Genomic DNA, 16,464 nt, shown 5'->3' on the forward strand with positions numbered 1-16,464 from the left:
GATTGGGGGAAAGCCAGATTACAACCCTAGGGAGGAGAAGAGGAAACAGAGCTCCATGCCAGTGCCCGACCTCAGGAAGGCAGTGTGGAAGAGGCTGGCGTGGAAGTGGCCCAAGAGAAGAAAGACGTGAGCTTCTAAGAGAGAAAGTGTAATTCTCTCTGGACAATGGCCAAAGACCCTGAAAAAGGAGAAGAGAGGAGGTAATGAAGCCAGTGTGGCTCACCAGAGAGCATGTCAGAGACACCAGTCAATTCAGTGGAAAAAGAAATGACCAGTACAATTACTTATCATGAGGCAGACCAAAGCAAAATGTTTCGTAAACATTTTTCTTCCTCAGTCTTTTGTGCTGTCTTAATAGAGTGTGGTTTGCCATGGTTTAGAAGAGATAGCACTTGAAACATTTTTCACTCTTCTGAACAAACTCCAAGTATGAAATTGGTCACATAAATAGCAGGAACACAAAACTGAATATCCAATGGCTTTAAACTGCCTTTCCTCATGCTTATGACAGTTAACCCTGGAAACAATGACAACTGCAATGACAACCGTGTCCTGACCCCATGGGAATTCCAAGGGGACTAACTAATTAGGCTGATTGGGAGATGCAAAGCTTCCTCTTTCGCCTAGGGGTTTTCTACAAATGGCCAGCCGGCAGGAGACGGAGGTCAGGACATTTGAGTTTACAGTAAAACAATACCTCGGTGTCTAAGAAGATGCGTTCTCATTAAAACTAAGAAAAGGGGTTTCTTGGCTGGGAACGATGGCTCACGCCTGCAATCCCAACACTTTGGGAGGCCAAAGGAGGAGGATCACTTGAGGTAAGGAGTTCGAGATCAGCCTGGCCAACATGGTGAAACTCCATCTCTACTAAAGATACAAAAAATTAGCTGGGCACGGTGGCACACGCCTGTAATCCCAGCTATTCGGGAGGCTGAGGCAGGAGAATCGCTTGAGGTGGAGGATGCAGTGAGCCGAGATCGCACCATTGCACTCCAGCATGGGTGAGAGGGCAAGCCTCCATCCGAAATAATAATAATAATAATAATAATAATAATAATAATAATAATAAATAAAAATGTCAAAGAAAGAGAAAGAAAAAAAAGTAAAGTTGATGCCCATCAACAGGAGTTAGTTAAAATAAAAATTTCTGAAAAGTGGAATACTATGCAGCCATTACAGCAATAAGGTAGATATAACAACATACTTATTAATATAGAAAGATACTCATGATATATTTTAAGTGAAAAATCAGATTACAAATGGTACCTTATTTCATGTTTATACAAAGATCCATATTGTATGTTTCTATCATGGTGCTTACATAGAAAAAGTCTGCAATGTTATCTCTGGAGGTGGAATTATGTGTTTTTTTAAGGCAATTTCAGAAAAAGAAGGAATAAAGGGTGTTGGCTTTGCCTTCTGTGATTGGGCAAGTAATTTAGCCTCAATTTCCACATTTCATAAAATGGGATTATGAGAGTTAAATGAGGTAATACACCTATAGGATTTTGCACATGGTAAGAGCTCAAAGAAGGATCTTTTATTCTCACAGAATGGCTTCTTAAGATGTGGTTAATAACTTACAACTGAGTGGGGTCTTGGGAAGACCTGCAGCCAGGAATGTTGTCTCAAACTGCAGAAGTGAATGGGAACGGCATTTAGGTAGGAGCTGCTGGTATTTCTCTAGACTCAAACTTTTCCCTCATTTTCCCTCCTTTCTGTCTGTGCTCAAGGCTCAACTCCTTCAGAAAATAGGAAAAAAAAAAAAAACAACTCCTCTCCCAGGCTCCATAATCTTCTGCAATTGTGTGTCACTCATTGTATGTGACAGCCTGCTTTTCAGTTTGTGGTTCTTCTGAGCAGGACCCTGGCTCACCACCCAGAACCCAAACGACCACCACACAGCTGTTTACCCCGTAAGCACTCGGTTAGTGCCTACTGTGGGCAAAACTTAGATTCACAGAGTTGGAAAATTAAATATTTCAGGAAAAAGGAAAACATCAGGCTTAGGCAAGGCTAAGGAGAAGGTTTCAGAAGAGGTTACTAAGTAATTACAACAGTCCTATTCCTTTTTTTTTTTCCCATAAAAGTGGAAAAAGCTAAGGTAGATTTGGAATTTGTAATTAAGTCTGTAGAGATAGGAAATTATACAAACTAATGGGTGAAATATCCTGGAAACCTTTATCAGGACCAGGACACCAGGACGGCTAGAAAGTTATAATTTAATAAAACATAAAGGCAAGCCCTAGTAAACTTTGGCGTAATATTTGAGGAAGTAAATTGGAGAAATGAAGCCATGAAAGTGGGGAAGCCGAGAGATTTCTGGTGCACATACCATGACCACACCAAAGTTTTTTCAGGGGTAGTGTTATTACAGGGGCCTTTCAGTAACAGATTTTTAAAAAATTGTATCACTTTGCCTATAAAATCTTGATACATGACTAAAATACTGTACTTCACAAACCAAATTCGGTTCAATTAAATTGTTGAATCTAGGTGGTAGGTAAAGAATGCTCATGCACTATTATTTCAACTTATTAGTAAATTTGAAACTTTCTATAATAAAAAGTCAAAAGGAAAGACGGGTGCAGTGGCACACGCCAAGTTGCAGCTACTCAGGAGGCTGAGGCGGGAGGATCACTTGAGCCCAGGAGTTAGAATCCAACCTGGGCAATATAGCAAGACCCTGACTCTAAAAAGCAAAAAGAAGCCAGGAAAGGTGGTTCACGGCTGTAATCCCAGCACTTTGGGAGGGCAAGGCGGGCAGATCACGAGGTCAGGAGTTTGAGACCAGCCTGGCCAACATGGTGAAACCCCGTCTCTACTAAAAATACAAAAATTAGCCGAGTGTGGTGGTGCATGCCTGTAATCCCAGCTACTCGAGAGGCTGAGGCAGGAGAATCACTTACTCACCTCCACCGAGAGGAGAATCACTTAATCACCTCCGCCAGGAGGAGGAGGTTGCAGTAAGCCAAGATTGCGCCACTGCACTCTAGCCTGGGTGACAGAGCGAGACTCCGTCTCAAAAAAAAAAGCAAAAAGAAGGGCCAGGCGCGGTGGTTCATACCTGTAATCCCAGCACTTTGGCAGGCCGAGGTGGGCGTATCATTTGAGGTCAGGAGTTCGAGACCAGCCTGGCCAACATGGCAAAACCCCGTCTCTACTAAAAATACAAAAAAATAGCTGGGCAGGGTGGCACATGCCTGTAATCTCAGCTACTAGGGAGGCTGAGGCAGGAGAATCACTTGAACCCAGGAGACGGAGGTTGCAGTGAGCCAAGATCATGCCACTGCACTCCAGCCTGGGCGACAGAGTGAGACTCTGTCTCAAAAAAAAAAAAAAAGGCAAAAACAAAGAAAAGTGGAAATTACCCCTGACTATAATCTAGTCCTCCATCCCCATCTCAACATAGAGCCTCATGTGGAGAGAAAAAGACATTTAGAGCACTCAGAGGCGTGTTCAAATTTTGTGTTGTTCGTTTCTTGTTCAGTACTTTGAGCATGTTTTCTCATGAAGAAGGAGGGCCCATCTTTCCTTTGCTGTGTGTCGTCAGTGGCCCATAACACCTGGTACATTATCAGTACCAACAATGCACATCATTAGCACAAACACTGTAGCTCTTCAAGAACTTTCAAATAACAATAAACACTGAGTACTGGGTGTTGTGCTAAGAACCATGTGCATGGTCCTTGCAGTGAAGAGGATGCTGTCGACTCATCTTTGGCCCAGACTGCACTGTGAGTTGCATTCCAGATATGATGATGAATTCATTCATTTATTAAACACACTTACTGAACAAGGCATTGTACAAAGATAGAGAAATATGGCAGCATACCTATTCTTAGAGTTTATAAACTCCCTGGTGAGATGTGACATACATACTTATCTGTTGCCAGATAAGTAGGAATGAGTGAGGTACAAAACGCTATAGGAGTCAGGAGCTCACCTAATTCATTCATTTGGCTACCTCTATAGGATAACAATCTGGGGTCATGGGTATGGATTGTAGCCATGGAATGAAACTACATGAAGCAGCCCACTACATTGGCCCATGACCCATATGTCAGTGACATGGTCCCCAACTGGCGATTCTGTAAAATCTCAAAAGGTTATACCAGATATCACCAGCACAGTAGCAATCTGTGTACATTCTTGCGGGAGAGGGAAAGCAACATTACCTTATTCACTCTTGCAGCCCATCACAGCATCACACCCATCAAGAGGATATTAAAGTAATATTTGTTGAACTAAATTGAATCGACCCCTTCTCTCTTTGAATCAGGTTCAGAAGAGATTCCCATAATGCTAAGAGCTTATCTAACATGGGGATAGGATACAAAGGAGAGAGGGGACAGTGATATGCTGATTTCCTTCTGAACACAGGCCAAGTGGTAATCAAGTCAACTAGGGTAAAGAGGGGCTGACTCTCCAACCTTCTACATTTAAAAGCTTGATGGGCCAGGCGCGGTGGCTCACGCCTGTAATCCCAGCACTTTGGGAGGCTGAGGCGGTTGGATCACTTGAGGTCAGGAGTTCGAGAACAGCCTGGCCAACATGAAGAAACCCCGTCTCTATTAAAAATACAAAAAATTAGCTGGGCATGGTGGCATGCACCTATAATCCCAGCTACTTAGGAGGCTGAGGCAGGAGAATTGCTTGAACCCAGGAGCTTGCAGTGAGCCAAGATCGTGCCACTGCACTTCAGTCTGGGCAACAGAATAAGACTCTGTCTCAAAAAAAAAAAAAAAGCTTGATATTTCTGAATAACAGCTTACGATGACTGTGGGTTGATGCCTCTAAGGCAATGGTTCTCAAAAAAAAAAAAAAAAAAAATGCCAGGGGTTATTTTTCTCAATTTGGCAGTGTCTGGAGATATTTTTGGTCACACTGGGAAAAGGGAATGTGCTCCTGGCATCCAGTGGGAGGAGACCCGGGATGCTGAAAAGTATCCTACAGTGCACAGGACAGTCCTTCACAACAAAGAATTATCCAGCTCAACATGCCAGCAGCGCCACTGTTGACAAACCCTGAGTTTGGGGGAGTGTGTTTCAGTCAGCTCCCAGACCAGTCTGCATTCTTAATTACTTTAAAAATGAATGCTCTGAACATTGGGGGGTTTCAGTAAGAGACAGTAGACAACTCCATGCAAACCCTGCACTGAGATTCTAAAAGTCCCAACAAGGGACTTTTAGTACAAATCCCTTTTAGGTATAAAGAGTAACAATAATCATGAAACAAACACTTAGCGGAATCAAGGTGAAAAGAACTCCTACTCTTCATCTAGAACAGGGCTAGCCAATGAAACAGAATGTGAGTCACAACTTCAAGCCTTGTACATCATTTACAAATTCTGTTGGCTGTATAAAGTAAAAGGAAGCAGGTGAAATTAAGTTTAATAACATATTTCGCTGAATGCGATATATCCAAAATACTATCATTTTAATATATAATCAATGTAAAAATTGTTTTAATTTTATTATTATTTTTTCTTTTTGAGGCAGGTTCTTGCTCTGCATCCAGGCTGGAGTGCGGTGACGTGATCATGGCTACTGCAGCCTCGACCACCTGGGCTCAATCAATCCTCCAACCTCAGCCTCCCAAGTAGCTGGGACTAAAGGTGTACACCACCACACTCAACTCATTTTTGTATTTTCTGTAGAGATGGGATTTTGCCATGTTATCCAGGCTGGTCTCAAACTCCTAGGATCAAGCGATCCACCCGCCTTGGCTTCATAAAGTGCTGGGATGACAGGTGTGACCCACCGAGCCCGGCCAATATAAAAATTATTAATAATATATTTTACATTCTTTTTTTCATACTAAGTCTTCAAAATCTAGTGTGTATTTTACAATTAGAGTACATCTCAATTTGGACCAGACACACTTCAAGCTCTCAATAGCCACATGTGGCTGGTGGCTACCGTACCGGACAGCACAGATCTAGACCTGTGATAGGAATCACCAAAGGTTCTCATTAAAAAAGCAGAGTCTGAGCGTTTTGCCCCAGTTTTGAGTCAGCATGTCTGGAATGGGAGCCAGGAATCCACATTTTAAACATTTGCTCAGATGATTCTTACACAGTTGTTCAACAGACCACATGCTGAGAAAGGATGATTTATTCTAGTCCATTGACTTGTTTGAAAGATAACATGTGCGTCTCAGTGTCTCATAGCCTAGTCCAAAACCATGTTCCATAGCATTAGTTTAAAGAGACAAGAGATGTCATAACTATAGAAGATATAGGGGAAAGTTGTTTTTTGTTTTCCAAAGAAGGAATGGAGAATTCCTCCCACAAGAGAATCTTTCGGCTGGGTGCAGTGGCTCACGCCTGTAATCCCAGCACTTTGGGAGGCCCAGGTAGGGTGAATCTCCTGAGCTCAAGAGTCCGAGACCAGCCTGCGCAACATGGCAAAACCCTGTCTCTACCAAAAATACAAAAAATTAGTCAGGTGTGGTGGTGTGCACCTGTGGTACCAGCTACTTGGGAGGCTGAGGTGGGAGGATCACTTGAGCCTGGGAGGTGGAGGTTGCAGTGAGCCAATATTGCACCACTGCACTATAGCCTAGGTGACAGAGTGAGACCTCATCTCAAAAAAAAAAAAAAAAAGAAAAAGAAAAAGAAAAGAAAATTTGTTGTTCTTAAAAAAAAGAATCTTGCATAGTTTCTCATACAAATCCCGAGGAAAACAACATTTTCCTTCAGCACTTACTATTGGGCTATTTCTGCATGTATTTTTTGAAAATTTAAATCAATACACCTATGAGTAATGTTTTTCTGTTTTTAAGGAGTTTTACTTCCTCAATCATCTGCAAATGTTTTAGGGGAGACTCAGTGTCCTACACACCGCACTCTCAAACAGGAAGTAAAAACTACCTTGTGACTCAGAAAATGCCAGAGAACCAGACTCAAACTAGACCAGACTAATACGGTTCTTTCTGTTTTCATGCAGCAGGTTATATTATCTAAAGTAATGGTAAGACTGCTACTGTATCCTCACATCTGCTTATTGTTTTCTTATCTCCAATTTCAACTCAATAATAGTTAAACTCATAAGTGAATTTGCTTCCATAAGTATAAAACTGTCCTTCTCAAGGGCGACAAGCAAGGAGAATTATGCTAAAAATGGTATCTTAGAGTCCTTTGTGGTCTCACCTGTATCCGTTATCAAGACCCTTTTGCTCACAAGGAAATGATTTTCGAGAGAAGGTCCACGTACATCTGATTTGTGGGTAGGCTTTAAACCTGACAGAAAAACAAAACTCTTCATATTGGTCAATTTCATAATCTTCACTTGAATTGGTAGCATTTATAAATCCCTTTTCTGTAAGAAAAAATAGGCATTTATGAGTTAGTTAATAATATTCATAGGGAAACGTATTGAGAAGATAAAATAAACTTGTATTCATCAGTTTAACACAGGAAAACTCAAGTGTTGGCATGCTGCAGGTCAGGTTGGATAATCCAAGTGAAAACCCAGGAGTCCTATCCCTAGTTCTAAGCCTGAGCTCATCATCTTTCGAAGTTAAGAAATGTTTAAAAAAAGAAAGAAGGAAAGAAAAAGAATGGGATGTAGATAATTGACTGTCTGGCCCCTGCTCTCAGCCAGCACCACTCTTCCATTGATGAGAGAGAGTAAAATAAACTCAAGGCACAAATAAAAGAGCGATCTGGCTAGCAATATTCACGAGGTTGCCTTATGGAACACTTCCTTATTAATCTGCTAAGAGCATCGCTGTATTTCTCGGCATTTTCATTATGGCTGAACGCTGTGCCCTAATCTGAGATTATTGAACTGTGGTTATTTTCAGATCCTACATACCCCACCAAAATTTCAGTGCATCTAAGGGCTTGTACTGTCTCTCAGTGCTCACTGCCCTAACAGTGCGGTTAGTTGGTTCTTAGAACTAGTATTTATTGTCCATTTTGTGTCAGGCTCTGTGTCAGGTTCTGGAACTACAAGGATAGAATGAGTTGTTCTTGTCCTTAAGAAACTTACAGTCTACTGGAGGATAAAAGTACACAAACAGATGGTCATATTACAATGTGTTATATGCAAAGACAGTGGCATTCAAGCGAGCCTGGTTTAACGGGAAAAGGAAGAGGGTGGGCAGATTATCTTTGCAAAGCTATTCTAACTCAGTTTCTTTCTTAGTGTTTGATAGTAGCATTATATTGAAATCAGAATTTGTACCACATACTTCACATTCCACACTACAGCGACTAAAAATAGGAATAAAGATTGTGTGAGCAGCCTGCATTACCTACGATGGTAACCAAAGCTGATTGACTGGGATGCTTTGAAGAGGAACAAGTGTAGTATCCGGTGTCGTTTCTTGCCACTGATGATACAAAAGCAAACAGAATCCGTATCATAGTTCTGTTTGTTGAATAGGTACTCATCTCAAAGTAGTTGCCCTAGGTTTTAATAAAACAGAGTTTGCATTTAATGTTTTCAATCCAGACTATTAGTTAATTGTTCCTGCATTTTCAGAATACAAACTTGTCCTATTACCTCCTCGAGTGCTTTGTTTTCTAATTCCCAGGTGAGCCCGAATCCATGGTTCACATGAACAGCTTTGCACCTTATCCATAAGGGTTCCCCTACTTTAAGAAATAATTGTGGCAATGTGGTCTGAGGAGTTTGATTTAGATCTAGGAGATGAAAACATCCCAAGTGAGAAAAAAAAAGTGATTTTTGCCTCATCACAAAAGATATCCTGAACATTCTGAACAAAGACTTTAGCATCATCTCAAATATTACTAACCACATTAATAAAAGAAGCTTTTAGAGACTGACTCCTCTTTTATGAAGAAATCAGCATTTACAGAATCCATAATATTGCATTTACTGTGACCTGAAGGAATGATAGGATTTCTGAAGTTGAATGATCACCTACGCAGTTACTGTTAGTCCCTGATAGTTGCTAAGAACCGGTCACTGAAAATGAAAGTGCATGATATTATAGTGTTACCTATTGTGAACAGCCTGGTGCATTCCCTGCCCAGTTCATTTCTGGCACAGCACCTTATGTCCGTCCCAAATAATTCATGAAGCACTTTTTCCTCCTTTTTAACAACAGCTGGACTTTCTTCTTTACAGCTGCAATTAGAAAAGAAGTACCATTTGGCTAAACAAGTTTTAAAATTACAAATGAATGCTCAAGAGGAGAACAAAGTTCTAGAGCCAGTTTTAAGGGTCAAATGGTAAACAAAAGGTCAAAAGGTAAACAAGCCCATATCTATGGTTTCAGCTAAGAGCTCAGAGGGGAGCTAGCTAGTTACTCATTATCGCAATGAATTAGCATAACACTAAGGAGAATTACATAACAAAACAGTTTAAAATTGTTCATGTTTGGTGATCTCTTTGTTGCTGTTGTTTAAAGACAGGGAAAGAAAGGGAAAAAAATGAGAAAGAAGATAAAGGAAAAAAAGAGAAGAAAGAGAGAAGAGAAAAAGCATGATTGGGCTTTCATGAAGTTTAGCAAGGTAAGCATCCTTTTGGGACGCAGTAAGGGAGGGGGAAGCTAAAGTTTCAAAAGTCACCCGAGTTCCCATAGGAACAGAGGAGGGCCAAGGTGTCACCCACAAGGGAAGTCAGCCAAGACTCCCAAGTATTCAACAGAGCAAAACCCCTCTCCCTGCCTCAGCAGAAAGCGAACTTTTGTACCACTTTGGAACAAAGTATTTGGTACTTTTTCTCCTTCTATTTGGTCCTATTTTAAAAAAAAAAAAGTTGTTTAGTAAATTTTAATTAGTTCAAACTGCATGAATTTTTACTTTGTAAGAACTTAACTTTGGCATATATGAAAAACTATGTAAACATTTATACCTTACTTAGTATTGGCTAGGCACTGTTCTATGTGCTTTACATATATCAATTCATTTAATCAGAATAGCAATCCTATAAGTATCTGTTGTCATCCGCATTCTTCTGATGAGGCACAGAGAGTAAGTAACTTGTCCAAGGCCACACAGCTGCTAAGCAAACCAGGGTTCAAACCCAGGCTATCTGGCTCTGGATTCTATATCTTTAAACAATCATATTAGACTGCTTTCCCAGAACAAACAGGATAATCAGAAATTAAACATTTTGTCACAAGGAATTTCTTTCTTCCTTTCTTTTCTTTTTTTTTAGATGGAGTCTCACTCTGTCACCCAGGCTGGAGTGCAATGGCGCGATCTCGGGTCACTGCAATCTCCGCCTCCCGGGTTCAAGCAATTCTCCTTCCTCAGCCTCCTGAGTAGCTGGGATTACAGATGCCCACCACCACACCTGGCTAATTTTTGTATTTTTAGTAGAGACGGGGTTTGACCATGTTGGTCAGGCTGGTCTCGAACCCCCAACCTCAGGTGATCTGCCTGCCTCGGCCTCCCAAATTGCTGGGATTACAGGTGTGAGCCACTGTGCCCAGCCTATAATTTCCCTTTTTTTTTTTTTTTGAGATGGAGTCTCGCTCTGTCACCCAGGCTGGAGTGCAGTGGCGCGATCTCGGCTTACTGCAAGCTCTGCCTCCCAGGTTCACGCCATTCTCCTGCCTCAGCCTCCTGAGTAGCTGGGACTACAGGTGCCCGCCACCACGCCCGGCTAATTTTTTTTGTATTTTTAGTAGAGATGGGGTTTCACCATGTTAGCCAGGATGATCTCGATCTCCTGACCTCGTGATCCGCCGGTCTTGGCCTCCCAAAGTGCTGGGATTACAGACGTGAGCCACTGTGCCCAGCCTAGAATTTCTTACTTATAAGATAATTCTACTTTAAAATCAGTATCTTTCTTTTTGCCCCAACCAGATGCCCAGGGAGCCAACAATCCTGGAACGTAGAGGGACTTTTACTTGTGTAGCATGATGCCCAGGAAGGGCCCTGCAGTTGATTTGAGGGGTTCCAAAAAGCCCCTTACCAAAAAAATCCTTGTCCTCCCTGTGAAGCCCACATTGGCCATTCTGTATTACTTATTTATTTTATTTTTTTAATTTTATTTATTTATTTTTTGAGACGGAGTTTCGCTCTTGTTGCCCAGGCTGGAGTGCAATGGCGTGATCTTGGCTCACCACAACCTTTGCCTCCCAGGTTCAAGAGATTCTCCTGCCTCAGCCTCCAGAGTAGCTGGTATTTTAGGTGCCTGCCACCACACCCAGTTAATTTTTTGTATTTTTAGTAGAGATGGGGTTTCACCATGTTGGCCAGGCTGGTCTCAAACTCCTGACCTCAAGTGATCTGTCCACCTTGGCCTCCCGAAATGCTGGGATTACAGGCGTGAGCCACTTCACCCGGCCCTATACTGGCCATTTTTTAACTTTAAGAAGCCAAAGTTTCCTGTTTAAATGAGCATAAATTAAATTTTACATACAGCTTGATGTCAACTACATTAGAAAAAGGCCAAAAGGAAATTATGAGAATAGCAGCTACCATGGATGTGTCATACCTTTCCCCCTGTGAATCGCAAAGCACCCATTCCACGATCGGCTCTGGAACGCTCTCAGATATGCAGACCAGGGCGTCCTGGTTTTCCATTTTTCTAAAGTAAGGTCTTCTTAATGTGTAAAGCAGGGTATCTAAAGCATCATAAGTTATTAACATTTTACTATTTTAAAAATAATTCTCTTAGCAGCCCCTCAGAAAAGGATTCTATGTCATTATGAAAAGTTCTCAACCATTACGTATACATATTTTTTTCTTTTTTCATAATAAAGGCATCAAAAGCAAACCAACCATTATATTAAATTTAGCTGTGGCTGCAGTGTCAACTTGAACATTTCTCCTCTTGGCCAATTTCTTTGGGTATTTCACAAATCCACAGCTAACTAAAGTAGTCGAGTGAAGCCATGTGAAAATACAAATATTGATAGGCACAGGAAAAAGGAAATTAGCAATAACATATGGCTTAAACCCTTGTTTAACACATAGTTTAGACCTCAACTTTCTTCCTATAATTTGATCTGCAACTAGGCAGAAATATACTAAGATTTAGAAAGACAGAAGAAACATGGTAGGGTGGAGTTGGAATTGCAACAGAACTTAAGAGGTTTAGTTGAGCCTCCCACTCACCCTGGATCACACACACACACACACACACACCATCCTTCACTCCCAGCTATTTCTAACATAAACTTTCTACTTCTACTTTGACTCTTCTAGAGACTGGAGTTCATGACCTCCCAGGGCAGGTCATTCTAATTTCTGACAAACTTTTTTTTTTTTAAAGAAAGTTTCCCTATACTGAATTCCAGCCTCTCTCCTTACAATAAATTTTGTTTGAAAATACTATGTACTGTTTGATATATATATATATATATGAAAGAATATATGGAGTGTAAATTTCAAAGCATAACAACAACAAATACCCACGGAGCCACTATCCACCTAATAACTAGAATATTAATAAATACCTTTTGATCTACTTTTATGCTTCTCCCCACCTCTCAACTGCACGTATCCTTTATCCTGAATTTTGTTGATTATTCGAGGACTCTTCAAAGTAGTTATACCAAATAAATATGTGGCACTAAACAATATATTGATTTTTTCATTCTTGAGCTTCAAAATAGTGTTATCAATCAATATGTAACTTCTACAACTTCATTTTTTCATCCAACCTTATGTTTTTAAAATTCATCCATGGTTTTACATGTAGCTATACTTTATTCATTTTTTTTTTTACTGCTACATAATATTCTATTGGTAAATATATCATTATTTTTTCATTTTCTTGCAGTAGACATTTGGGTTGTTTCCTTCCGTGTGTGTGTGTGAGACAGGGTCTCTGTCACCCAGGCTGGAGTGCAGTGGTGCAATCTCAGCTCACTACAGCCTCAACCTCCCAGGCTCAAGTGATCTTCCTGCCTTGGCCTCCCAAAGTGCTTGGATTACAGGTATGAGCCACCACACCCGGCCACAGTTTTTTGTATGATCAACCATGTGCTCTGAACATTCTACACATTTGTACTGAGGCATGTGTATAACAGTTTCCTTAATAACATTCTTAAGAGTGGAACTGCTGGTCTACATGGTATGAGCACATTCAGCCTTACACATAATGATCATTTGTTTTCCAAAGTGGTTATACTAATTTATGTTACACAGCAGGATATGAGAGCACCTATTGCTTTATAGACTTACCAAGACTTCTTAATTTTCAGCAATCCAGCAAGTATAAAATGGTATTTCATTGTGGTCTTAATTTAATTTCTCCATTATTAATTTAACATGTGTTAAAATAATTAATTGGGAGTCCATTAGGCTGAGACAACTCTAACAGCTTGAGTTCCTAGGTAAACAAATCACAACACAACTCAAAAAAAAAAAAAGGAAAAGAATAAAGGCCGGGCAAGGTGGCTCACGCCTGTAATCCCAGCACTTAGGGAGGGTGAGGCGGGAGGATCGCTTGAGCCCAGGAGTTCGAGACCAGCCTAGGTAACATGCCAAAACCCCGTCTCTACAAAAACAACAACAACAAAAAGCAAAAAACAAACCCAATTCAATATGAGCAGCAAAATGCAACTTAGCTTAATCAATGAGGAACTGCAAACTGACCAATCCAGGGACTGTCCTTCTTTAAACAATCAAATTTTTTCTTTGTCTTGCTTCCGGGAACACATTATAGAAAGAAGTCTTACCCTTGAATCTCCTCACTGGAGCCCACCTGCTTGCCATCTGGTACTGCCTGATTCATGAATTGCTTTCTGCTCAAATATACTCTTTACAACTTTAAAGTGCCTAAGTTTATCTTTTAACATGTTTCTTGACCATTTAGGTTTCATGTTCCAAAAATGAAATGCCTACTCATGTCCTTTGTTCATTGCTCTACTAGGTTTTCATTTTGTTCGTTTTTCTTATTGACTTATTGACTTATATAGATTGTTTATCTTATTGACTTTACATATTATGACTATTAATCCTTTGTTGATTGTGAACTGCAAGTATTTTTTCCCATCTTGAGGTGATTTTTACTTTTTCTCCCTGTAATTTCTAACAATTGGTTCTTATCATATCCTCTAGAGCAACTTTTTTAAAGTCTAGCTTTGATTCCATATGAAAATCTTTCAAATATTTAAAATCAGAAACCGAGATCAAGGGAGATAATTACCATACAAGGTACTTTAACTAGTTAGCTCAGGTTTCCTGACTCAAATCCCAAAAGAATTTCCTCTGCATTACACTGCAATCAATCTTATCGTCTCCTCAAAACATTTCCTTCTATATACTACACATTCCCAATTCCTTCAACTGCTCCTAATTTAAAGAATTCCAAGTTTTCCACTATCCTGGTTGCTCATTTTGTCAGTATTCATCTTTAAAAAAGTAGAACTGAAATGAATAAGCTTCTATTAATTTCCTTAATTTAGACGTTATATTTTCATGAACACTGCCAAGGTTCAAATTTACTTTTTTGGCAACCATGCCACGCTGGTGGTTAATACTGAGCTTGTGGTTGACTAAACCCTTTCCTCTTTTTCACACTGACTGTTGCCACATCTCTCCCACCTATTTTTTGGATCCCACCACCTTGCAGAATGCTAAAAATAAGTTATAATTTACCTGAATAACTGTTGTTACATTTTTACATTGTAAATCTTAAGTGAAAGGAATATACCCTAAGTATAACAGAGACACAGCAGATGCCCACTTACCTTATACAACTGTTTATACTTGGCAAGAAAATTTTAAAAGGAGAGAAAAAAGGAGAAAGAGGAAGAGAAGTAGAGAACAAGAAACGTCCTAGCTTCATCCAACCTGGGGCACGTATTTACTGTCCCACAGAGGCGGTGAGGGACTAGAAAGGGGGCAGGGAACATGACCGACATTAAAGAGCAACATAAGGTGATTCTCGGCTTTGGAGCTTGTAGGGCTCTGGTCCTATCATTTTCAGAGTAATTAAAGGACTTTCCAGAATAAATTTTGGGTAATTTTGACTTTAGCTCATGTATACCTTACAGGCTGACTTTAGAACCTTACTCCACCCCCAACCCCAGTAAGATGATGCTTCTGGGACTCTTGCGTGCTCTCTTCTGTTAGTAGCTTTGACAGCAAGACCCACACATTCTCACACAAGACCCAGGGCAGTGTGGTGCAGAAAGCCTCCAGCTGTGCCCACCACCACACCTCTCAGAGGGGCTGTTTTCTCATCTACATGCATGCAGGATCGCTGTGAGCATCTGAGATGAAACAGGCAGAAGATCTTCAGCAAAGGGCAGTTGTGGTTACTCCTGACCCAGGGCACCTCTGTGGGCCGGACATTTAGTCACTGACAAGGAAGAGGGGAGCCTGGCAAGTTGTGTCAATGTGTCGGGGGGACCTAATTTCAAGTGATATTAACCCAGGGTTTTTGGAGCACTGCACTGGCCCCTAAAGGCACGAGGACCTAAGTGAATGCAGACACCTTTAGTCCTTCTTGGTCATGGAAGGCGAAGCAGCAAGTTCAGTGTGCATAGCACGGAGTCTGTGCATGATGGGGACGAAACAAGGAGAAGCCAGAAAGCACACGCAGGTGGTGCCTCTGCCAACTGCACAGCTGCCTCCCTTGGTCAGAACATCTGGACCGTTCCTTACAGTTTGCATATGGTCTAGCACGCATGTGGGCCCGCGCTGTCCAACACAGTAGCCCCTAGCTGCATGGGGCTATTTACATTCCAATTTTAACAAATTAAAATTAAATAAAATTAAAACTTTAGTTCCTCAGTCACCTTAGCCACCTTTCAAGTGTTCAACAGCCCCATGTGGCCAGTGGCTACTGTATTGGAAAGAACAGACAAGATCATTTTCATCATCTCAGAAAGTTCTATTGGATCACGCTGAGACCTTCCAATCCTGTGAGGTACGTATTTTTATCCTCATTTTACCAATAAGGAAATCGGGGCTCAGAGAAATTGTGACCTGCCATAGGTGGTAGTATCAGAACCAGAATTAGAACAGAGGTCTTCTGATTCCAAGGTCAAAATGTTTTCCATTTCTTCCCTGTCAGCCATCTGCTACTGAACAGAGGACGTCCCAGGCGTTTTTAGCAGCAGTCACATTCTGAGAGCCCACGGCACACATCAGTGATTCATCAGTGATTCTCAGTTCTCTATAGGTTCTACAGAGGGTTGACAGGAATCTAATCAATCCAACTACGTATCAAGGGAAACCTGAATATGTCTAGAGGAGCTGGTCAAGCTAACGGGTTCTAAACCACTCCTTTGAAATATTGTGGTATTCCAGGCTGGAATACTAGTAGCAGGCTGGACTTACTTCTTATACTCACTGTAAACAATATTGTGTAATTGGTAGCTTCACTCTGAATAAAAAGTAGGTATTCTCCAGCTTGGGTTTCTGTCATTTTCAAAATGACCATGGAAACAACTCCTCTGCAAAACAGGAAAGAGAACTAGTTATTTTGGAAAATGTGTGAAACTAAAAACAAAATTTCATAGTGACTAAAAAGGCAGTTTGGTACTCCAGCGTTCCCCGACTGGCACGGAAGCCGCTCT

General features: G+C 40.9%; 1 protein-coding gene across 7 annotated transcripts in view, besides 2 other annotated features; it reads right to left on the reverse strand.

Annotated features, from left to right (window-relative positions):
• FLT3 (fms related receptor tyrosine kinase 3) overlaps positions 1-16,464 on the reverse strand; it is a 97,303-nt gene that overhangs the window by 37,848 nt on the left and 42,991 nt on the right. For 3 of the 7 annotated variants that reach the window (NR_130706.2, NM_004119.3, XM_011535015.3), the window contains exons 4-9: positions 16,226-16,341; positions 11,424-11,553; positions 8,974-9,101; positions 8,514-8,653; positions 8,263-8,416; positions 7,154-7,322 (exon numbers count right to left, since the gene is read on the reverse strand). Coding sequence is in view for 6 of the 7 variants with exons in the window: in NM_004119.3 (NP_004110.2) it covers positions 7,154-7,322; positions 8,263-8,416; positions 8,514-8,653; positions 8,974-9,101; positions 11,424-11,553; positions 16,226-16,341 (837 nt within the window). In the remaining variant the exon portion in view is untranslated. Of the gene's footprint in view, positions 1-7,153; positions 7,323-8,262; positions 8,417-8,513; positions 8,654-8,973; positions 9,102-11,423; positions 11,554-11,710; positions 11,803-16,225; positions 16,342-16,464 lie in introns of those variants that run through there. The other 4 variants (XM_047430216.1, XM_011535018.3, XM_017020486.2 and 1 more) reach the window with 4 other exon arrangements.
• Positions 8,953-9,720: an enhancer, noted in NCBI's record as "OCT4-NANOG hESC enhancer chr13:28624211-28624978 (GRCh37/hg19 assembly coordinates)". NCBI's record gives its function as "activates a minimal SCP1, AML or CMV promoter by ChIP-STARR-seq in naive H9 embryonic stem cells {active_cell/tissue: H9 hESC(naive)}" and the evidence as "EXISTENCE:reporter gene assay evidence [ECO:0000049][PMID:30033119]".
• Positions 10,527-11,027: an enhancer, noted in NCBI's record as "H3K4me1 hESC enhancer chr13:28625785-28626285 (GRCh37/hg19 assembly coordinates)". NCBI's record gives its function as "activates a minimal SCP1, AML or CMV promoter by ChIP-STARR-seq in naive H9 embryonic stem cells {active_cell/tissue: H9 hESC(naive)}" and the evidence as "EXISTENCE:reporter gene assay evidence [ECO:0000049][PMID:30033119]".

Source organism: Homo sapiens, chromosome 13 (assembly GCF_000001405.40).
Source record: "Homo sapiens chromosome 13, GRCh38.p14 Primary Assembly".
NCBI classification, from domain to species: Eukaryota; Metazoa; Chordata; class Mammalia; order Primates; family Hominidae; genus Homo; species Homo sapiens.